Raw genomic sequence first — 24987 nt, 5'->3', positions numbered from 1 at the left:
GGCTGAATTGTGCGGGCGCAGGGCACGGGACTGGCAGGCAGCTCCACCGGTAGCCCCGGTGCGGGATCCACTGGGTGAAGCCAGCTGGGCTCCTGAGTCTGGTGGGGACGTAGAGAACCTTTATGTCTAGCTCAGGGATTGTAAATTCACCAGTCGGCACTCTGTATCTAGCTCAAGGTTTGTAAACACACCAATCAGCACCCTGTGTCCAGCTCAGGGTTTGTAAATGCACCAATCGACACTCTGTATCTAGCTACTCTGGTGGGGCCTTGGAGAACCTTTGTGTCCACACTCTGTATCTAGCTAATCTGGTGGGGAAGGGGAGAACCTTTGTGTCTAGCTCAGGGCTTGTAAAAGCACCAATCAGTGCCCTGTCAAAACAGACCACTGGGCTCTACCAATCAGCAGGATGTGGATGGCGGGGGTTGGCGGGGGGCAGATAAGAGAATAAAAGCAGGCTGCCAGAGCCAGCAGTTGCAACCTGCTCAGGTCCCCTTCTACACTGTGGAAGCTTTGTTCTTTCGCTCTTTGCAATAAATCTTGCTACTGCTCACTCTTTGGGTCCACTCTGCTTTTATGAGCTGTAACACTCACCGCGAAGGTCTGCAGCTTCACTCCTGAAGCCAGTGAGACCACGAGCCCACCTGGAGGAAGGAACAACTCCAGAGGCCCTGCCTTAAGAGCTGTAACACTCACCGCGAAGGTCTGCAGCTTCACTCCTGAAGCCAGCGAGACCACGAGCCCACCTGGAGGAACAAACAACTCCAGAGGCGCCGCCTTAAGAGCTGTAACACTCACCGCGAAGGTCTGCAGCTTCACTCCTGAGCCAGCGAGACCACGAACCCACCAGAAGGAAGAAACTCCGAAAACATCTTAACATCAGAAGGAACAAATTCCAGACGCGCCATCTTAAGAGCTGTAACACTCACCGCGAGGGGCGTGGCTTCATGCTTGAAGTCAGTGAGACCAAGAACCCACCAATTCTGGACACATTATGACCTTTGTTTCCTGCCATGGAAGAAAATTTAAATTCCCAGGCTGAAGAAGCAAATTAGGCCTCTCAAGCAGAAACCAACAGGTAAGAAAATAATAATAATTAATAAATTTAGGGTCTTTTGTTCTTAAAATTTGTGTACTCAGGCATTGAGAATCTTTGGAACATGAGATAGGGAAAACTCATCCTTTTGTAAGAAAACCTTCAATCCTGAGGCCATAAATTTTAGCAGGAGAAGCACAGGATTAGCCTTCCGATCCTAACTCTCTTCATGGTATCACTTTAAGGAAATATCTTCAAAAATTATAGTGATTAGTTTTTATCACTGTGGGGATATTGATATTCATACCATGAAGTGATTTTTAATTAAATAAGAAAATAAATATAACAAAACTATTGTAGCCCTGACTTAAGTTTTATTTACTATAAACAGCAATAAATTTTATTGCCTGGAAATCAAACAAGTTTTAGATCTAGTGTTTGTGTTCCTGAAGTTTATCATATGATTTTTGAGAAACATTACTTTTTATATCTACAGATTAATGATATAGTATTGTATGTGATATACAAAAAGTGAGTGGTAGGATTAGTGAATACTGTAAGCATTTTTATGTAGCTGAGGTGTTCAAATAAGGCTTTGTACAGGGTGTTTTCTTTGCTCTTGTAGTAGTAGAAAGGGAGTTAATGCATAAATCAACTCAAAAAGTACTTTCAAAAAGGGGCATAAAATGTTTTCAGCAGGTGTATAGGGATCATGATAGAGAGAGATGCATGTAAACTTAGCAAGGTAATTCTAGAATATAGAACCTTTTGAAATATTTTGTTCAGGAATTTACACTGGTTCTTTCCATGCTTTTGAATAAGCCTGCTTTACATATTACACTGAAACAGGAACTTCATTATGGTTGAAACAAACAAAAAAAAAAGCTTTTTATCACCCAAGAATATCATTATACATAAAAAAGAATAGTTATACTTTCAAGTATTCTGTAATTCTATTTACCATTTAGATTCATGTTAAAGGCATACCATTTGCATTAGTAATGTCAGGAGTACATTTTATTGCTTTGGCATCCAAATGTATTAAAACAAAAATAATTCCTTTAGTAGATTAAAATAACAATGTTTTTGTAGGTACATTTTACTACAAAAATAGCAGTAAATTCAAAGAAAATAAAATGTTAATAAAAATAAGATTTTTAAGGATTTTTTTTCTTTTGAAAGAGGATCTTGCTCTGTTGCCCAGGAGTACAGTGGCAAGATCATGGCTCACTACAGCCTTGAACTGCTGGGCTCAAGCAGTTCTCCCAACTCAGTCTCCCAAGTAGCTGAGACAACAGGCATTCACCACCACAGTGGCTTTTAAAAAACTTTTTGTAGAGATGGAGTCTTGCTGTGTTGCTTAGGATAGTCTCAAACTCCTGGGCTCAAGTAATCCTCTCACCTTGGCCTCCCAAAGTGCTGGGATTATAGGTGTGAGCCACTGCATCTGGCTTAGTGTAAATTGTTTACAATAAAACACAACAAAACAATTTTGGTTAGTAGAAACAATTTGTTGTTATTTTTCACTGTAAATTTAGAACACAAAGATAAAATGCTGTAATTATTCAATTTAATATCATGAAATGACATGTCACACCTGTTAATAAACATTGTGATTGATAAAAAAGCAAATTCTTATTTTTTAAATCAACCAAAACTATTCCTTTGTTTTGCTGCCAGTATATGTTGAACCAGTTAAGATCCACTGCAGATGGCAACATACTATCACTCATTTATCTATTCATGACTTTATTTATTTGGACTAGAGAAATGAATTCAATCATGTGATTGACATCCTGATATGGTTATTTAGAAAGATTTTACTTTTTTACATAAAGAATAAAGATTAGATTGAATGCCAAGAAATCATCAAGGAGACTACTGCAACAATGAGTTAGCAGAAGAAAAGGGAAGGGGACATAGACATATAAAAAAGAAATAATAATGTGATTGAGTAATCCAATTAGATATAGGAGAGGAGAAAATTTGCTTATGTTTTCCAATATTCTCATATAAAATGTCAAATCATCACTCACTTATTTATAATCACCCCCTGTCCAATCTAAACTTAAACTTCCTAAGCTTTCCTCAATTCTTCATCTCATTCTCTTCTAATTTGTAATTGGAGTGAGTCAGTTCTATAAAGAAAACCCACTTTAGCAGTTTGAAGAAAAAAAAAGTAATTATAAAGAAAATCAGAGACTTGCACATGATCCTTCAAAGAAAATGCTAAAAATACTGAGTGAAAGTCCCATTGAGACTTTTCTGCTTCACCAACCTGACATGGGTGCCGTATTTTGCAGTACCCAAATCTTTTTCACCACTGCTCTCAAAAGCCAGAGCCCCCCACCGCCATTGCCAAATACCAGAATTCCCAGCAGTCTCTATGCCTTCATTCTTGACCTTTAAAAAATTGTAAATGATTAGTATCTGGGATAATGAATTCCTGACTTCTGTCTTGGAAAGCTGGACCTAATGTGACAAATACTCAACTTTAATAATGGGTTCTCAAATCAAATGACTCCAAGCAGCCAGCATGCATGGGAGAAATCCAGTTCAACACTCAATTCTGCTCATTCTTGATCAGTTACTATTTATTTGACTTTTCCAAGATGTTTTCTATCTACTTTTTCCAAACTGTGAAATAGCATTACTGATAATCAACTAAGAAAATCAATTTACATAAATAGATATGATGATATAATACCTGAATTAAACTATTACTGTGAAAGTTCCATTTACATTCCAAATAAATCAAATAATTTGACATAAAGTTACACATTTTGAAATTGACTTTGCACTTATTCAACATTAATTATGTATATGTATATTAATTTTCAATTTTTGATACGGTGGATTTCTCATTTGTTGTGTATGGGTGTGTAAGTGTCTGTCTGTATAAATGTGTGTATGTGTGTTTGGAAATAAGTGGATAGCTGCTCTTAAATAGACAAGGCTCTTGAGGATAGTGAAGTTGGTTTCTGTTTATTTTATATTTTCCGATAATACTTGTATAAGTCTCCTAGAATTGCCATAAGATATTACCACAAACTTGGTGGCTTAAAATAACAGAAAGGTATTCTCCCATAGCTTTGGAGACCAGAAGCCCCAAATCAAGCTATCAGCAGGGAAGTACTACCTCTGGAAGATGCAATGAAGAATGCTTTTTTCCCTCTTCTGGCTTCTGGCGGCTCTGTATTACTTGGCTTCCTTGGCTTGTGGCTACATCACTCCAATCTCTGTCTCAGTCTTCACATTGCCTTTTCCTCTATGTGGGTATCTTTTGTTACATCTTCTGCCACTTATAAGAACATTTTAGATTTAGGGCCTACCAGGTAATTCAGGATGTTCTGATCTCAAGATCTTTAATTATATCTGCATATATATTTTTTCAAATAAGGCTTTCAGGTTCACTGATGCTAGAGATTCAGATGTGGACCTGCCTTGTTGGGGGCTATGGATAAAACCACTAGAGTTTATAGAGCTATGGAGGATAATTTAAAATAATATTGAATGCCAAATTTTACCCTCACTTACTCATTTATCATTGATTCCATCAATCTCTCAGCAAATACAATAGAATATCCACTACGTATGTTCCAATCCTCAAGATAGGCACTGGTGAAATACAAAAGAACAGGCAAAAATTAATGTCTCTATAAAGCTCATAAGTTGATTACCTAAAAAGCGTATAATTTATAAAATATTTATTTTGCTTCTTGAAAACCGGAAGGAGTTTATAGGAATGAATGCAGGAGGAAATGACACCTGAGTTGAGCAGTAAGAGGTGAGTGGAATAGTGTGTATCTGGGATATGAAGAGAAAAGCAGTTAGTAAAAATTGACATGCAAATGTTTATGAACATTTTTTGTCTATTTTCTTCATTATTTCAATCCAGTACATTTAAGTATAGTAATAATTATGATAAATTTAATACATAGCTTGTACAATATTATGTTTATTGCCAATATATCAAATTTATTTTTCATTGAGTAGAAACTAGTAAAACACAGAGTGCAAAACTAAATCAAAGCCATTTGCAAAATAGTACTTGTAAAAACTGACCCAATTATTTTTAAATACCAGTATTTTTTATTTAAAAATGTATGATAATATTAGAAAGACAGACATTTCTGATCATATTATATTAAAACAGTAACTGAACAAATATTATTTATGTTGGAAATGATTTTCCTGAGCTCCCAATATGTTTAATTCATGTAAATGACACTAATAATAATTATATATAGTATTACTTCTCTGAGAAGAAAGATTTTGCAGATCTTTCACATGCTCTTTTGCTTAGATGACACTACACTCTCCTCAATGTTCAGAATTAAAATGTTGTTGGAATTTGGCACTACACTGAAAAATACGATTTTGACAAATGCCTCATGAAAAAGGATTTATTTACATATATTATAATATATATATATAATATAACGTAATAACACATCACGTGACATGTCAGAATGATCCAATTGCTGGAAGGGGATCACAATTCAAGGAACGTGTGCAGCCTCCAGAATTTAAAAAAGGCAAGAAGGCTGGGCACGATGGCTCATGCCTGTAACCCCAGCAGTTTGGGAGGCCGAGGCAGGTGGATCACAAGGTCAGGAGTTTGAGACCAGCCTGACCAACATGGTGAAACTTAGTCTCTACTGAAAATACAAAAATTAGCCAGGCGTGGTGGAGCATGCCTGTAATCCCAGCTACTCAGGAGGCTGAGACAGGAGAATTGCTTGAACCTGGGAAGCGGAGGTTGCAGTGAGCCAAGATCATGCCACTGCACTCCAGCCTGGGTGACAGAGCAAGAGAAAGAAAAAAGAACGAAGAAAGAAGAAAATAAAAAGAAAGAAAGAGAGAAAGAAAGAGAGAGAAAGAAGGAAGGAGGGGGAGAGAGAGAGAGGAAGGAAGGAAGGAAGGAAGCAAGCAAGCAAGGAAGAGGCAAGAGAGAGATTCACTCCTGGAACAGAAGAAACTGAAAGAAAATAGGTCTGGTGATACCTTGATTTTAGCCGTGTAAGACCCATTTTGGACTTCAGACCTCAATAACAATAAGATAATAAATTTTTGTGGTTATAAGCAACGAAGTCTGTTGTAATATGTTACAATAGCAACGGGAAACTAACACAGATTTTGGTCACTATGTGCTAGGTAATTTTGTCGCAGATCTTTTTCCTGTAGAAGACTGAACTAATTATTAGAGCCTGACTATCAAGGAATTATTGTATTAGTTGTTTAGTTTAGGAGTAGTTAACTCCTACGTTGCCGGTAGAGAAGCACTTGGGAAGTCATCAACCATGGCTCAATGATTTGGTATCTAAATATTTATAACCATATATTATTCCTCTTTCCTGTGTTCTTCTCTATTATAACCAAGTGCAAGTTTGGGTAGAGCCCTACTATGAATTGTTTCTGTAAATTTTGCCACCAACATAAATTTTAAAATGTATTGCTCATATTTTTTCCATCTTGCCATGGCATGATAGTGTGAAATAACTCAGTTATGTTATTTTCAAAATGAAATAGTAAAAACTAAAGATTATATTATGCTGTTGAGAGCAATATTCTTACTTGAGATTTGCAATATGTACTCTTGTCAGTGAAAGCATAAAATAACTATTTTGAGAAAATTTCTTGTGTGCTATGTATGTTACGGCTTAGTTCAGTATTTAGTTGCCTGTTACAAGTGGTCACAATGTAATAATAATTAAATGTTAATTTAATAGCAGCATTCTGAACTAGATTAATATGAAAAATGGTGAGCCATGAAAAGCATTTGGACTATAGCATTATTGAATATTTTTAAATGTTCTCTCCTATCCCCACTGAAATAATAATTTAGTTTTACACTTTGGTGGTTAGAGGCTTAATGCTATAAGAGTTCTGGCTAATATAAATTGCATAAATCACACAAAATGTCCCAGAACACAATGCTCTGTGGCTGACGAGAACTGTATTTTTAGGCATTTTTTAAAAAGAATCGAGTCCCAGGTATTTAATCAAAGAACATAGCCAACAATCTCTTGCTATCAAATTATATTACATGCATTATAGCTGCTGCTGCCATCAGTAAATTATCACTTTCTATAATGCATTTTAAATTTCATTTGACCTTGATAAGATAAAGATATTTTTTCCTGTTGAAATTAACATGCTGTTCACACCTTCACCTTTTGTCTTTCAAAAGTACTTGACAACACGATTGTATTTTGAAGAAATCTATGTTTTTAAATAGTCTGTGTCCTATGTGTTGATTGTAGACAATGATAAAGTGAAGACTGAATACCCATTTGTTAGGACAATTTTTCATTCAAGAGTTTCTTGTAAAAAATAATTTGTTCTTTATTTGTTTTCTCTTTCTAAATTTTTAGTATCAGGGATTCATTTTTGACTATAATCAACTCAATTATCCCTCCTTTTTAAAAGAAAGTAGAACTGCTCCTGCTACATACATTTTCTTTGCTGGGCCCAACATCTAATTAATTCCAGGAGAAAACCTCTTTTCATTAAGTAATAGCCTGTATGTGGCTGGCATATTTCTAAGCCTTTCTGCAGGGAGAAGGAAATAGAATAAGTTCCAAAGAACTGTCTGAATTTACAAGCACGCTGGGAAGAATCTGAGGCAAAAAGTAGATTGTACCCACCTGCAACAGGTGAGGCAGGCATTCTCCTTTCTGTGGCTCTACCTTAAATAAGCATTCATTAAGAATTCTTAATTCAAAAGAACAAATCTTCTTCTAACATACATGTGGTATTAGGTATTATTTAACAAGTACACAGCAGTGATGTTGCCCTAAAGGAAATACCATGCAGTGCTTGAGAACTCAGAAAATTCCTGTTTTCAACAGGAATTTTGAAAATGAGAAACAATAAATTAAATATGAAAAACAAAAAGTTATAAATGATATATTTAATGTCACAATTTTATACTCTTCTATCTTTAACTCTATCCATTATCACTCCTTTTACACATACTCTGAGATTATTTTCCTCATTTATTCAATTTCTGTAATTTATATCAAAATAAAACAATAGTACTTTTACATAACAATTTCCAAAGCACTTTTATATGTTATTTGTGACAATCCTTAAACTCTGGTAGAAGAATAAGTAAAAGAATTTCCTTATTCTGGCAAAAATATAAAAAATTCTGCTACATAAAGACATATGGTCAGAGAGTTAATATATTATTTATAAGTATAGTTAATAATTCATGGGTCTTATTTTTTTTTTGATAGATTTTATTTTTTATAGTAGTTTCAGGTTCATAGGAAAATTAAGTGAAAGGTACAGAGATTTCCCATATACCCCAGCCCCTATACATGCACCATCTCCCTCATTATCAATATCCCCCACCAGAGCAGTATGTTTGTTACAGTTGATGAACTTATATTGACACATCATCATCACCCAAAGTCCATAGTTTACATTAGGTTTCACTCTTGTCCTAGATTCTATGATTTGGGGCAAATGTAAAATACAGGTATCCACCATTACTGTATCATTCACAACAGTTTCACTGCCCTAAAGACCACCTGTGCTCTCCCTATTTATTCCTCCCTTCCCCAACCCCTGACAACCACTGATCTCTTTACTATCTCTTTGCTGTCGCCTTTCCAGAATGTCACATGGTTGAAATTATACAGCATATACCATCTTCCCATTGGCTTCTTTCACTTATTAATATACATTTGAGGCTTGATAGATTGACATTTTGGTGCTTGCAAGTTTTGGCAATCACGGTAGACATCCACATGCATGTTTTTGTGTGGACATAAGTTTTAAACTCCTTTGAATAAATACCAAAGAGCATGATTGATTAATCATACAGTAAGATTATGTTTAGCTTTCTAAGAAACTGCCAAACTGTCTTCAAAAGTGGTTGTACTATTTTGCATTTCCAAAAAATGAGAATTTTGATTGCTCCAGATCCTTCCCAGCATATGACATTGTCAAGTGTTTTGGATTTTGATCATTCTAAGTGGTAGTGCATTGTTTTAATTTGTAATTCCCCAATTATGTATGATGTAGAATCTTTTTATTTTTAGCAATGTGGTTTCCATTTCCTCTTCTTGAATACTTTTTTTTTTAATTTGAGGAAGATTGATTGTACTTTCAGTCATTATGCCCTCACCATGATTGGCCAATCTAATACTCTTTCTCTGAATTTTGAAACCTTAACAGCATTATTCAAATAAAGGAAATGTTTGATGCTCAATCATACGTTTGGCAGCATCTGGAAGAAACTGGACACTACAATCCTGTATTCTGGAGGAACTCTGGTCCCTGTGTTACCTGCATCTCCTTCTTTATTTTTTCTCTCAATTTTGTGAGCTCCTCTATGTTCTTCCCAGTAATTTATTTATTGCTTAAGTTAATAAAGGTCTCTTTCCCATGCTCACATTTAAAAAAACTTAAATAGTAAGGGATAGTCAAATAATTTGATAGTGGAAAAGATAATGTCACAGGATCTTTGGGGTGTCACTTTTCTGGCCAGAAACCTCTGTGGCTGGTGGCACCTTTACCGGAGTTTTTGTCCTGTGTCCAGGAAGAATAAGGTACTCAGTCAAGTGGAGGGTGAGTGAGAAGAGGAGCTTTATTGTGTATTAGAACTGTTCAGAGGAGACCTGTAGTGGGTAGCTCCTCTCTGTAGGCAGGTTGTCTCATTGAGGGTTCAGCTCTTGGCAGAGAGGAGGCCCTGGAGTGGGTGGCTCCTCTCTGCAGCTGGTAGTCCCAACATCTCTGCAGATCTCTGAAGTTCTCTGCAGGAGCTACCCTCTCTGCAGCTGGTTGTCCCATCTGCTCAGCTCTGGCTGAGTCTGGGGCTTTTATGGGCCTCCAAGAGGGGGAAGAAGGGCATGCTGATTGGTCCATGGGTCAAGAAAAGGCACCACAAATTCCCACACAAGTTTATGGGACTAGCAGCCCAGCCCCCAGCTTTCAGCCCCTCCCTGCCCTGAAGGTGGGGCCTCACCAGGACATGCCCCCTTCCACCCAGGAATCTGTCTGCCACCTGCTGCCACTCATGGCACTTAGAGTTGGTCCTGAATTTGCCCTGAGATCAGAGCAGATACCAACAGCAGGGAGAAGTCAGGCAGCAGGAGCAGGAACTTCAGAGCCTATGAGAACAGGGCGGCCTTCCTGGGCCCCCAAGAGTGCAGTGATGCCTGAGTTTGCAGCTGCAGTTTGGGCAGCTGCTGTTGTGTCCAGGAGGCAGGGCTCCTAACTGCTCCCAGCCCCTTAAGAGCACAGGGAGGCTCTGATCTACAGTCACAATTTGGGCAGCTGTAGCCCCACTATGAAGGGGAGGCTCCTGCCTGTGTCATGGAGTGTGCAGCCCTGCCCACGCCTCCCTGCTGCAGCTGGCGTGATGGTAGTGGCAGGTCAACTGGAGCTGCTGCTGCCATCAATAGGACTAGAAGACAGATTTTCAGACACCACTTCCACTTTGCTGAGACAACTTATGCAAATACTTAGCACAAATTTTGAAATCTGTTAAATGCTCAATAAAAAAATCCCTTAATACATACCCACACATATATCAATATTGCAATCAATAGTAAAATAAAATATAGATTTGAAAATGTGTTTTCTTCTTTCAGTGTATCACAAACTCATGAAAAATTTCATAGATGTCTCAGAAGAAGCAGTGAAAAATATTGGTTCTGAGAAGCAATCATCAGCCAGTAAGTTTGTATGTCATTTGGTGCCAAACAACCTTAGGTCTTGTCCCAGTTTTATATGATTTTGACCATTCATTTAGTGTATTTAATTTCCACTATCACTTTTTACAATGGGATTATTGATTCTACTTATTTTATATGTCTGCTTTATTATTAAATATCTGACCTAAGGTCTCTAAGTGCATAATCACATTCAATGTTCACAATATTCTATGGACTTTCTAGGCTCCCACATTAAGTGATACAATGCATGTAAAATACTTACATAATACCTGAAAAATAGAAATTATCCAAAAATATTACTACTAATATTATGGAAGTTATCATGTTTATGAGGAAAATATTCATCAAATTATGAACCAAATGAATGGTTTATAAAATAAAGGAATGATCCAGTGTCTGGTAGGCATATAGTAGACACCCTTTACTGGCTGATTCAATAAAAAATGAGATTTGCAATTATGGTTTTATTTTATAGTTTCATCCTCAAGCAAACTTTATTCAAGAAAGAATAACCATTTCAGCTTGTCTAAATATCAGCTCACCTTTTCACATTGTTTACCTTAATGACAAAAGAACCCTGAGAACACTGAAAATTTTTCCCGGAAAAGACGTCAGTGCCAGATATCTGCAATTAAATACTGATAATTTCACTGGCAGTTCAAGCAGTTTAATGAAGTTTTAGATATCAAAATAACTCACAAGTGAGCATGTGTTTCAAAGCCAGGACCCTAGGAACAGCAATCCTGGCTTGAAATTCCACCTCCTTGTAAATTCTGGATATTAGACCTTTGTCAGATGGGTAGATTGCAAAAACTTTCTTCCATTCTGTAGGTTGCCTGTTAACTCTGATGATAGTTTCTTTTGCTGTGCAGAAGCTCTTTAGTTTAATTAGATCCTATTTGTCAATTTTGGCTTTTGTTGCAATTGTTTTTGGTGTTTTTGTCATGAAGTCTTTGCCCATGCCTGTGTCCTAAACGGTATTGCCTAGGTTTTCTTCTGGGGTTTTTACAATTTTGGGTTTTACATTTAAGTCTTTAATCCATCTTGAGTTAATTTTTGTATAAGGCATATGGAAGGGGTCCAGTTTCAGTTTTCTGCATATGGCTAGCCAGTTTTCCCAGCACTATTTACTGAATAGGATATCCTTTCCCCATTGCTTGTTTGTTGAAGATCATATGGTTGTAGATGTGTAGTGTTATTTCTGAGTTCTCTGTTCTGCTCTATTGGTCTATATGCCTGTTTTGATACCAGTACTGGGATGTTTTGGTTACTTTAGCCTTGCAGTCAGGTAGCATGATGCCTCCAGCTTTGTTCTTTTTGCTTGGGATTACTGGGTATATACACAAAGGAATATAACTCATTCTACTATAAAGACACATGCACGTGTATGTTTATTGCATCACTATTTACAATAGCAAAGACATGGAACCAAACCAAATACCCATCAATGATAGACTGAATAAGAAAAATGTGGTACATATACAAATGGAATACTATGCTGCCATAAAGGAATGAGGTTATGTCCTTTGCAGGGACATAGATGAAGCTAGAAGCCAGCATCCTCAGCAAACTAACACAGGAACAGAAAACCAAACATTACATGTTCTCACTCATAAGTGGGAGTGAAACAGTGAGAACACATGGACTCAGGGAGGGGAACAACATACACTAGGGCCTGCTGGGGGGTGGTGGGGGAACTTAGAGGATGGGTCAATAGGTGCAGCATACCACTATGGCACACATATACCTATGTAACAGACCTGCACATTCTTCACATGTATCCCATTTTTTAAAGAAGAAATAAAAAAAATTAAAAATTCCATCTCCATCATGTATTAATTTATTAACTGTCAGCTTGAGTAAGTCACTTTTCCTTTCTTGACCCTCATTACCAAAGCATCATTTTTTTGGTTTTCTCAACATAAACTCTCCAACTTACCACCTACATCTCTTGACACTTATTCTCTACATACTAACCATTTCCTTGCAAACTTGAAATAGAGGAAATCCACTTAATGAGTATAGATATTCTTTTTAAATCAAATCAATAACCTTCCCTTAATTAACCAAATTCATAAACATGTGCTCAGTTGTCATATACACATGCATAAATCTCAAATGTATACGAACTGCCCAAATCCTATCTTTTATTTTTGAGACAGAAAAAAATATCAGTGTATCGTCATAGATTCACAGCATTCTGTTACTCAAATCTGCCTGCAGAGGACTATGAAGTCAGAATTAATTTAGGCAAAATTGAGTAATTTTCTCATAGAAGGTAATACTGTTTCAACCAGCCTCTTGCTTTGTCGCCCAAGCTGGAGTGCAATAGCGCAAACTCGGCTCACTGCAACCTCTACCTCCCAGGTTCAAGCAATTCTCCTGCCTCAGCCTCCCAAGTAGCTTGGATTACAGGCACCCACCACCACATTCAGCTAATTTTTTGTACTTTTATCAGAGATGGGGTTTTGCCATGTTGGCCAGGCTGTTCTAGAACTCCTGACCTCAGGTGATCCAGCAGCCTTGGCCTCCCAAAGTGCTGGGATTACAGGCCTGAGCCACCATGCCCAGCCTCAAATCCTATATTTGAGGCTCACTCTCCAGTATCTAATTGCCTCCTAAAAATAGTCACCAGTTTCTTAAACTTGCAATACAAATCAGCGTGCCTAAAATTATAATATTCTCTTCCCAAATATAGATTTTCCCTACCATTTATTCACTCTCCACATTTCAGCCAGAGCAAATTTTTAAAGTTTAAATCTGAAAAAGTCTTTTGATATCTGTCGTTGCTTAGCCAATTGACCACATATAATTGAAATGTAAAGTACTAGTGTTCCCAGGAAGAAGAACAAACAAATACTCAGTGTCTGCCACATTATTACCAGCACACATTATTTACAATAAGGTATGGCACTTTTTGAATGCCTGCCAAATACTGAACATGTTGCTATGAGATTTGCTTGTACAGTACAGTTCACATTTGTTTGCTTGTGGTAGGAGAATCATTAGAATAGTCACCTTGGTTGTTTTAGGAAGTCTAGTAATAATAGTGTCTAGAAATGGTAATGTTTAAGAACTTATGAAGGTAGCCAGAGAGCTTATTTATCCAATGTGGTGAAGGGAATCAGAAGTTTGGGTTGGAATAGTTGTAAAGATGTTTCTCAAGCTTTGGGATATAGGAGCCATGGAGGCAAGAGGTGAGTGGGTCTGAGTACATGTGGAAAAAGACAATAAACATGGTTGACTTTTTTCAGTTTGTATCAAGTTGAGTAGAACTATATGAGTTCCTTAGTCTTTCAGATGTCAGTGGTTGAAACAGTATTTCCTTCTATTAGAAAATTACTGAATTTTGCCTAAACTCATTCTGACTTCATAGTCTTCTGCAGGCAGATTTGAGCAACAGAAAGTTATGAATCCATGATGATTCATTGAGATTGTTCTTTTTAATATTTGTTTTTTAAGATCTTGTCTATGGATTATCAGTGCTCTGGGGCCAAGGTGGGCAGAATTCAGAAAAATGGCTACATATTGAACAAAAAACTAAACATTAAGAGCTTCGGTCTAGGAAATGAAGATGCTGGTGATGACAAAGCCAACTCATGATAACATACTCTTTGCAATCATTCTCCCACTTTGTTACTCTCCTTCAAAGCTTAGCCCAGAAATCACCTATTCACTAATTCAATCTATTGCTATCAGACTTTTGGCTTCCCCCCATCACTTTCATATCAGTAAAACTGACCTTGTCAGAGTCATTGAGAGTCTCCAGATGTTCCTCTATGGCAGTGGAATTCTAAACCTTGGACCCCTTTCCCATTCCAGAAACTCCTTCTTAGTATCATATGCCCTTGATTTTCATCTTACCTCTCTGATGTACCCTTTACAGCTTTCCTCCAGGTTCTTCTCTCCCATCTATTCTGTAAATGTCAGAGATGCTAATATTTTGTCTTTCTTCATTTTCCTTGTATTCTCTTCTCTCATTTACTAGCTCTGAAAATTAGCCTTGTGGGGTCTTTGCTTGTTCGTCTAAAAAAAATATAGGGAGATAGGAAATATTTAATCTATAGAATTTCTGTGAAAATTAAATGGGTTAATACATCTAGAGCTTTTAGAACAGTTTCTGGCAAATGTGAAGCATTCATAAAATGTTTGGCTATTTGATTTTTAGCAGTCAATAGATAGTTTCTCTACTTACATAAAATTTGTTGTAAAGATGTCATAGGAATAGCTGATTGCTTAAAATTATTAAACTATTTTGCATCTGCTGAAGTGGCATATATATGTACATATGTAGAAATAAAATTAGGTCTGAGATGATGTGTTAGTATTCATAATACTTGTCTATTTTACAATATTTATCAAGTAGAACTGAACCATAATAGTTCATGGGTCACTCTTATTTGTTGAAGTTGTGTCTCTAGAAGAAAACATTCAATTTTGCCTGAATTTAGTTTGTCTCATAGTTCCTCTGCAGGTAGATCTGAATGACAGCATATCATTAATATTTATTACTATGTTGTCATTATTTTCTTTTAATATTTGTCATTTTCGAGTTTGCCTATGGGCATTCTTTTTCTATCTGTATTGATTTTTGAATCTATTCACTATATTAGTCTACTTAGATTTATTTTTCTCTCTATACCAAATTTAAATCATCTAATCTAAGCCCCTATTATAAAATTTCAGTACCTCACCAAAATATTTATTAATATGTATTTTCCCTTTAAAAATATTTTAACTGCACATGTATTCTATAAATATAAGTGTTGAAGCTTATTTTAAAAGACTAAGATATCAAAATACCTAATGCCATTCTTCTTCCCATAGGTAAACCTCCTTCCCCATTTGCTTTGCATTTTGGAGCCCTTAAAACATATATAAAACTTTCTATATTTAACTGTTATTTTGTTCACAATAATGGAATCATGGAGTATGTTTTGGTTTGCAACTTTATTTTTTATTTAATAATTTAACATATTTCTATGTGACAAAAATGTATTTAATAGTTTAAAAATACTTATCTCAAATTTTAAATTAAAACTGTTTTATTTTACATACTTCTGAAATATCTTAACACTGCTATATCTAATATTTAAACAAGCCCCTCAGATCATTTTGAGTCTGTGTGGTGCATCACTGGTGTGAACAATTAAGGGGATTTGTTGGCTCATCTAGCTGGACATTTCTGGTGAGATCATGTATGGTACCGTAAGAATCCCAGCTTTATTTCTTTGAAGAACTTTGAAACTCTCAGCTTTGATATGATCTGTGTGTCAGCTTTATTCTCAGACTAATAACAGGGTTTTCAGACAGTCCATGTCTTGCTGATATACACAACATTTGTGAAAGCAAATCTTTTTTCCTGTGGCTCTCATTTAAGGTTAATGAATATTCTTTACCGGAAGGCTTTGGCAATTTTCCCTTTCTGTCTTATAGAACCGAATTACTAAACTTTCTCCCCCTTACCTTTCTAACTTAAACTTAAACCTTTTTCTATGCTGAGAATCTTTCTTCACATCTCTCCTCTATGCCATTTAGGTTACCCAAGCTCAGATCAAAGTGATGTTTCAGAATTTCTTTCAATTCCCATCTTTGATAACTCTGTGTTTTTACAAGTTTTTCTCTTGCTTGCATTGCCTTTTCTTTTCTCATGTCAAATGCATATTTGTTCTTAGCATCCATTTGTTCCACAGCACTCCAGAGAGGATTTCTACCTTTCTTCTCTACCTTCCACCCTATTCAACAACTACTAAAGCACTAATCATGTTTAATTCTAACAATTTAATTAGATATATTTGACATTAGATTGTAGATTTCTCAGTGACCAGGGTAAAGGACTCTCTGTTGATGCATCTCAGAGTTCCAGTATAACATCATCTCAATACAGAGTTCTCAGTAAATATTTGTTAGAAGAAAAGATAGCTTTAAGCTTAATAGTAATGCATTATAATTTTTTGAACTAGTTCTCTCATACAGAACATTTATTGCCAATATCAGACATAACAACTAACAAAACAGAGACTGACATCAGCCCATGTCGCTCATGATCTTGGTTGAGGGAAGCTTGAGAGCAATATTCCCAACAGTGGGGAATTTCCCTGAACTACCCCTCAAAAAAATGTTCACAAAGCTTTAGTGGCTTCTGGTAAAAGCCATGGATTCTTGGCTATATAACCTTTCCCCTGTAAATGTGAAAAAGATAGTTCTGTCCTGAGCCACACTGCAAGCTTTCATGAAGCACAGCATCCCCATTGGAAGACCCCATTACTCTTTCTGTTGTCCCTTGAAATGACCATGGGGGAAGCAATGGAGAAGCTCTACAGAAATGGTTCATATTGGGATGCAAATGGCAGATGGTTTCAGTGATTTCCTGTGATTCAGGCCTGGGTGAATGGAAACCCAACATGGTAGTGGTAACAATGCCAAAGAACCAACAGGGGACCTCAATGGGTGACAAGAGGAAAAATCACACAAACAAACAAAAAACCAAAGGGAATAAGGCCAGCCTGCAGAGTAATGTGACTTTGCTTGTTAAGACAAGGGGTAGTAAAAATAAAAGTCCATGGGACAAAAAATAAAAATAAAAATGAAAAGTCTGCCAACACTCTAAGGAGGCAGAGAGTGTGTTCCCCCAATTTGGAGGGTAAGGCCCTCAGTTAAGCTAAAGAAAAAGAGGAGAGGAAGACCCACATCAGATTTAGTTAGAATCCTGCATGGTAGCTCTCAGAGTCCCTGAACATGTTTTGTGAACAGGGGTGCATGGGGTTTTAAGGCTTTCTGATGCCCCAACCAAGTCAATGAGGAATATGATCCCAATTCAGTGCAATGAATCAGACAAGGAAGATGTGATCCCCTTTGCATGTATCTTGACTTCACGCCCTCAAAAAGAATGATTAGGAATGAGACCAAGGTCTCTGAGTCTCTGCTGGGGCCTAATGGACTTACATGCCTGACAAATTAAAAGAAAAAAAGAGAGAATTCAAACTTCTTTGTGGCTCATGGATACTGGTGATCAAATCATAATAGGCAGAGGTCTCCACAGGGGTAGGGCTAAGCTTATGAAAGTAGGAGGTTTGGGGACAAACACAGTGATGCATAGCTAACATAGCTCACATGCAGGTTCACGTGTGCTTACAAATGGGGTTCTTGGGCCATTTGGGGCAACAGTAATCATGGTTCACGCAATTGAGTGCATTATAGGCATTTTGGCTGCTTGTGGCACAAAACATCACTGTTGCCTCGGGGGATATGTCCCTTCATTACACAAGATTCAAGCCATAACAGAGTGGTGCATTCACCCTTACTGGTCACCTAAGTTACCCAAGCCCAAGTCCTGAAGGATTATTCAACAAAAGCAGTGCAGCATACCAGGCACAGAGCATTGCCCTGTTGATATAGGACTTGCTCCAGACAAGAATGTTAGACACCAACCTGTTGCAGTTAGCAGCCAGTCCATCCTGTAAAAAAAAGTCTCAAAAGCCTGGAGGCTAACTACCACAGATTGAATGCCAAGATGCCACCCTCGGTACCTGACATTATTGTTATCCCCAAAGTACTGGTAGCCCACAGGGGAAACTGGCATGCTGTTATAGATCTCACTAATGCTTTCTTCTCCATCTCTTTGTGTGATAAAGATTACATGCAACAGCTTACAGCATATTTTACTTCTCCAGGGTTACCTCAGTTTCCCTGTAATGTGCCACTAGTGGGTAGGGTTAGTTCTTCAGCAAGCCAAATTATTCCTAGAAGTTCTTGTCATCCACTATGCTGATGGCATCATCATTGATGGCCTGACTTAAAAACAAGATAACCAGATCCTACGTAAGGTCACAGACACTAGAACACAGACAGGCAGGGCCATCAACCCTAATAAAATATGGGGTCATGCTCAACAAATGTAGCTCTTGAGAGCCACTCAGGATGATAATCAGAGATGTTGGATAAAATTATTAAGGTAATTTTATTTCTAATTAAATCAAACAAAAATTGCTGACCATAGCGACTCCTACTAATAAGAAAGAAGTTCAACAGCTGATAGGCCTATTTAGTTATTGCAGACAACATGTACCACATCTGGATACTCTTGACCTTCATGCAAGGTGACCTGCAAGGTGGCCACCTTTACATAGGAACCCCAACAACAATAGACTCTGGAAACCATGCAAAATGCAGTGACACAGGCCCTACCATTGGGCTGATGGAGCCCACTAATTCTATGGAGCTATAGGTCTCTGTGACAACTACTCATGAAGATTGGAGCCTATGACAACAATAGATTGTTACTGGGGTACATCAGCCCCTCAAATTTTAGACAAGCAAAGTACCCAAGGCATCATCCACCAGATACACCCCCCTTCAAACAGAAACTCCTAACCTGCTGTTGTGCTTTAATAGAAACAAAGCAACTGACCACTGCAGCATTGCAGGTAATCTTAAAACCTGAGCTGCCATGCTGGGCGTGATGGCTCCCGCCTGTAAACCCAGCACTTTGGGAGGCCAAGGCCGGCAGATCACAAGGTCAAGAGATCGAGACCATCTTGGCCAACATGGTGAAACCCTGTCTGTACTAAAAATACAAAAATTAGCTGGGCATGGTGGTGCACGCCTGTAGTCCCAACTACTACAAGAGGGATGGGAGGCTGAGGTGGGATAATCACTTGAACCCGGGAGGCGGAGTTTGCAGTGAGCCGAGATCACGCTACTGCACTCCAGCCTGGCGGCAAAGCAAGACTACATCTCAAAAACAAAACAAAAAACAAAAAACCTGAGATGCCTATCTTCATACAGATTTTCATGAATCCTACTGATACAATAATAAAATAAAATAAAATAAAATAAAATAAAATAAAATAAAATAAAATAAAATAAAATAAGGGCACACTCACCAAAGCTCCATTATTAAATAAAAATGATACCTCCAAGAAGGATTCAGATCAGGGTCCCAGGAAGTCAACCTACTCCAGGTATAAGTAACTAACTGCCTTGCCAGAGGGAGCTAAACAGCTCATAGGGGATGTTACTGCACCTGCCTTAACTAAGGGGGGCTCTTGATTCAAAGATGTTCCAGCTCATGGTATGGCTCAGTTGATTAATAGATCTGCAAATTCAAAGCTCATGGAGTCCCATAGGGCACTGCTGCCATCTGTCCAAAGGATGGCCACCTTTGAATTGAAACCAGACAAGGACACTATATGAAATGGATGGAACTCCCAGTAGTAACGAGGGCCTTGCAGGCCACTCCAACAGCAACTCTGCTACATATTTACAAACTCATGGGCTATTACAAACAGGCTAACTGTATGGTCCACTGACTTGCAAATAAATGATTAAACATTAAGGGCCCCCCTGTGTAGGGACAGGGACAGTGACAGCAGCTTACAAACAAGACAAAACAAAAACAAAACTATTTATCACTCATGTTGGTGCCTGTGACACAGGACCATTCAAAAGGGAACAAAATGAAACTCACAAGCTGATCTAGCATGCACTTACCAAATCACCACAATTGTTGTTCCCCCAGGGGCAGAAACATCCCGCATGCACTCTTAGCCCCCTCTGGCAAGGCAGGTGTTAAGTCTATGACAGAGTGGAACATAAAAAATTCACCTCAGGTGCAAAAATGGACAAGATTATGAGAATTTACCCTTTAAAAAAGGCAAAAATAAGATAGAATTGTGTAATATCTTTCAGTAACCCCTGGCCTTGCAATATGGAAAACTGGGCTAAATTAACCAAGACATAGGCCTCACATGAGTGTGGAATATTAACGACTTAGGACCCCTTGTTTTCAGTCATGGATTCTGATACATTGCCATGGTACATATTCCAAACAGGAGACTGCCTTTCTAGTGTGCCATGTAAACATAAGTGCCACTGTTGTAACCTTCAGAAAACACCTCTGCCATATTTTTAGATATCCAGAAGGATTTTAATTCACTGAAGGTACCACATTCACTGCACAAACCACACAATAACTGACACAGTCCCACCACATAAGACAAATGTTTTGTACTCTCTGGGCAAACGGGGCAGTAGAGCAATTGGATGGGTGGTGTAAACCATGAACACACAAAGGCCATCAAAAGGTCAACTAACTGGGTCATACTCTCCTTTAACAAAAGCCATTTGGACACTAAATACTGATGCAGGATATTTCCCAGACCCCTTCATGGGACTTGAGACAGTGGTGCCCCATTTACTCAGCCTGCCACTCTCAACTCCTCTTTGGAGGGAGTGCGTGAGCAAATGAGGCAGGACTGGAGTGCACAAGTGCTGGAACCAGCTGGCTGCTTTGGCGCCAGGAGGAGTAAACTCCATGCACTGGACCCACTGTGTTCCAACCCTCGTGGGAGGGAGCACCCAGGTAAGTGGATGCAGGAGCTAGGGCAAGCACTTTTCAGTGCTGGCAGGAGCAAATTCCATGCAAACCCCAAGGCAGCATCAAAGAGTGTATGCCTGTGACCTATGAAGCCAAAGAGTGTGTTACAGTACTCTTTTAGCTCTGCTGTCCACAGACGGCTTAAGTATTAACAGCTTAGTGGGCCCTCTGCCTCTTTGCATGAGGCAGCTGCCTTCCACCAGTGAGGGCAAAAGGACAGTGTGCCAGCTTTTTGTATCCACACTCGTGGATCCCAAGCTCTTGTCCCTCATCCAGGAAAAAAAAATGAGGGTGCATGAATGAATTGAAGGATGCTAAATGTGGTGGATTTTATTGCTGATGAAAGTGGCTGTCAGTGGAAAGGAGAGCTGAAAAGGGGATGGGAGGAGGGTAGGTAAACTTCCTCTGGAGTGCAGCCATCTCCAGCCGGATTCTTCTCTAAAGTTATGCCATCAAGCCATCCCTCTGAAGTCAAGCTGCTCTCTCTGATGTCAGCCATAGTCCCCAACACCCAGCTGCTGCTTTTCTCTGCTAGCTGAGTCGGGGGTCTTTATAGGCACAGGATGGGGTGGGGCAGAGACATGGGTGGTTTAGGAAAACGCAACATTCAAGAGAGAAAACAGGAATATAAGTTTTTACTTTGGGCCATGGTCTCAGGTTTTTTGGCTTGAAGGTGGGGCTTTGCCAGGGACCTGCCCCTGTCTGCCTAGAGTTTCTCTTCCTCCAGTCCCTATCAATACTACATTCCAGCATTTAAAAAAAAAAATGGCACTACAATCCATGTTAAAAATGTTGAACTTTGGGGAGGGAAGTGAAGGACCAGGAAGTTGCCTAATTAGGCTGTTGTTTCAAAATCCCAACCGTGATATACCCAAGAGTTTTCCCCACTCTGAAATGCACCCTGCAGTGCTGGTTTGTGTTCTAGGCCACAATGGCAACACTACAGGAGCCTCCTTTTTCAAACCTGTAGGCAAGGCTATCTTTGGGCACCTCTCCATTGTGGGATTCCCCATAGGGAAGGGGGAAGAGGGGACAGAATATCAAGGTACTAGGGTTCCTCTGGTTGTGCCTGGGACTCCCAGCACCCCCGCCCCCACCCATAAAGATAGGAAATATTATAGAACATGCCAAATTTGTTTAGGGTGTGACCTCCTTCCCTAAGTTGGTTGACTGGTGCCTATGGGTCAAGTAACAAGGGCAGTGGATCTCTACAAAGACTGGAGCCTCAGGATATGAACAAACAGCCTAGTCAGCTAAATCCAGGTAATCCTTACCGCAGGTTATTGGATAAGATCATCCCTGGCCTCAGAAGGAAGTTGGGAGAATTAATCATTCCTCTTCTTATTCCTGCAGAAGCCACTGCCTTGCCTGACATTATAACACAAATGAAAATAAGCATAGCCACGGTGAGAGGAGGAGAGTTCAAACAACACTGGATTTCTCACCCCAGGCTGAACATCTTTCTTAATCCATTTTGTGCCCTGGTAGATACACAAGGACTTGGATCACCTACAAGCTGGGTTAAAATGCCAAGTGACTCCATTGCTATACGTCCAGGTGCAGACACATTCTTGAGTCCCTTGCTTTAATATGACTTAAGATATGGGCCAGGCATGGTGGCTCACGCCTGTAATTCCAGCGCTTTGGGAGGCCCAGGTGGGCAGATCACCAGGTCAGGAGATAGAGACCATGTGGAACCCCATCTCTACTAAAAATGCAAAAAAATTAGCCAGGCGTGGTGACAGGCGCCTGTAGTCCCAGCTACTACGGAGGCTGAGGCAGGAGAGTGGCGTGAACCTGGGAGGCAGAGCTTGCAGTGAGCCGAGATTGTGCCACTGCACTCCAGCCTGGGCGACAGAGCGAGAATCCATCTCAAAAAGAAAAAAAAGATATGACAGGAAAGAATCCCTAGGCTGGAACACACATTACTGATCTATGTTGGCATTTCAGGCTTGGATGTGCCTTTTTTTCTTTCCCTGCTACCACATAGCAAAACGAACTGAGACTGTATATAACGAGTCTACACAGGATAATCACAAATCCCTGATGGGGGTCACCTGCACCCCTCCGGGTTATGGATTTCTCTGTGGACCTTAGTGGGCAACAGAGTGTTTGCCCTTGGGCAAAGAATCTTATTGCCTTTGAGCCCTAGGGCCCATAGTTCATGTTAAAAAATTACATAAAGGGCTTGAGAGGGGGTGCAATTGGGATCCACTTTGCTAACCCACCACTGACTGGTTTATAACGTCCTCCTGGTAGTACAAACTCACAGCTGGTTTTATTTTGCTGCTCCTATTTTAATACCAGACATAGGTGTACAAGCTGTAGGACAAATGGTATACAATCTGTCCTTAATCATGGTGGAAATAGCTAATAATCCTACTTAGTCCATACAAGATCAACAAAACCCAATAAACTCACTAGTCAATGTGGTAATGGACAATTGAACAGGCCTCATTGTCTGCTAGCAGAACAGGTTGGCATTTGTGCTTTTACCAACACCCTTTGCTGTGTAAATATCAATAGTTTAGAGAAGGTAGAAACTGAGCTGGAGGAGATCCATGCTCAGGCTGGAGATCATCAGCTGTACACCCCTCCTACCTGTGAAGCTCATTTTGTGATCTATTTAATTGCTTTAATTCAGGCACTTGGGGTTCCTGGTTAAGAATTATCTGCCAGGGAGGCCTCATCATCCTCCTGGGTCTGGTTCTCCTAGTGACCCTGATGTCTCAAAATGACAGAGGGTCTGTGAGGAAACTGCATCTATAAAGTGTTGTTCAGGGGTTCACTGGACACAACTCTCCTTACAAATTTGGGGACAAGAGGTGGCCCTACCAAATTTTATGTACTTTATCTGCTATTTCAGTAGCCAATCCAGGGCCAAAAGTGTTTTTTTGGGGATTGACAGTCACACATGGCCTGACAACCTTTACAAGGTTTCATAGAAGTGAGCCTCAGGCCCAGAGAAAACATTTCCTTACATGGAGATAAAGAGGCCTCGCAGGCTGTGCTGAATGTATCATCTTTTGGGGGCATGTCTTTCCATGATCTGGGCTTGATGTACACTTTTTTGTTTTGGTAAAACATGTGCATGATACAGCACCTGGCCCATCCCACTGCTATTACTATTTCTTATGGGGAGAGAAATAGATATTTTACCTGCAGTACATGAAGTTTGTGGAGAAGAGGCAATAGCCATGGGGGACCGAGGCTTACTATGAAGGCTAAACCTGCTCTGTCTCTTGCTAAATGAGTAAAACGTTCCATCCAATGTCTGGGTAATTTGTGCCTCTCTTCGTAACCCTGACACCTGCAAACAACGTAGTGAGTTTACATGCTGGGATCACTGGTCCTGGTGGTAGACATTGTTACATTCTTTGCTTTTTGGCTATCCTTCACGCAATAACATTCCTCCCCTGGAGGTGACAACAGGTGCTAGTAGCTTAGCAGAAACGATTGAGGGGAAATGGTGGATGATGGGTTCTAAGATGTAAGAGAAAGTAGGTCCTTTAGTGTTTCATTAACCATGTAGGTATGATATATGATTCTGAGTTTGATGGAAAGTAAAGGGAAATTTTGATCACCGTGTAAGATGATCTTCAGACTTAACATTTAAAATTATTCTAATAGCTATTTGGAAAATAGAATTCAGTAGATCAGATGCAAACTTAGAGACAGGTTGATATGCTGTTGCAAAAGAGATAATAGTGACTAGGAACTAAGGAGGTGAAAATAAATGGTTGAATAACGCACATAAGTTGGAGATAATGGCAGTAAGATTGAAGACGGGATCTTCAATCTGAAGTGTGAAAAAAGTTGATAAGATGGATGATAGGTTTGTAAATTGAGACAGAAAAGTCAGAATGGGAGCAGGCATGGGA

General features: G+C 39.0%; 1 long non-coding RNA gene across 1 annotated transcript; it reads right to left on the bottom strand.

Annotated features, from left to right (window-relative positions):
* Positions 1-975: 975 nt before the first annotated feature.
* LOC105370282 (uncharacterized) lies at positions 976-24388 on the bottom strand. Its single transcript, XR_942124.2, has 4 exons — positions 24266-24388; positions 14593-14754; positions 4574-4654; positions 976-1008 (listed from the first exon to the last, which is right to left on the bottom strand). It is a non-coding gene; the product is annotated as an uncharacterized LOC105370282 (long non-coding RNA).
* Positions 24389-24987: the final 599 nt, after the last annotated feature.

This window comes from Homo sapiens, chromosome 13, assembly GCF_000001405.40.
Source record: "Homo sapiens chromosome 13, GRCh38.p14 Primary Assembly".
In the NCBI taxonomy this organism is placed as follows: domain Eukaryota; kingdom Metazoa; phylum Chordata; class Mammalia; order Primates; family Hominidae; genus Homo; species Homo sapiens.
The sequence above is the reverse complement of the archived record's forward strand: the minus strand, read 5'-3'. Positions and strand labels throughout refer to the sequence as shown.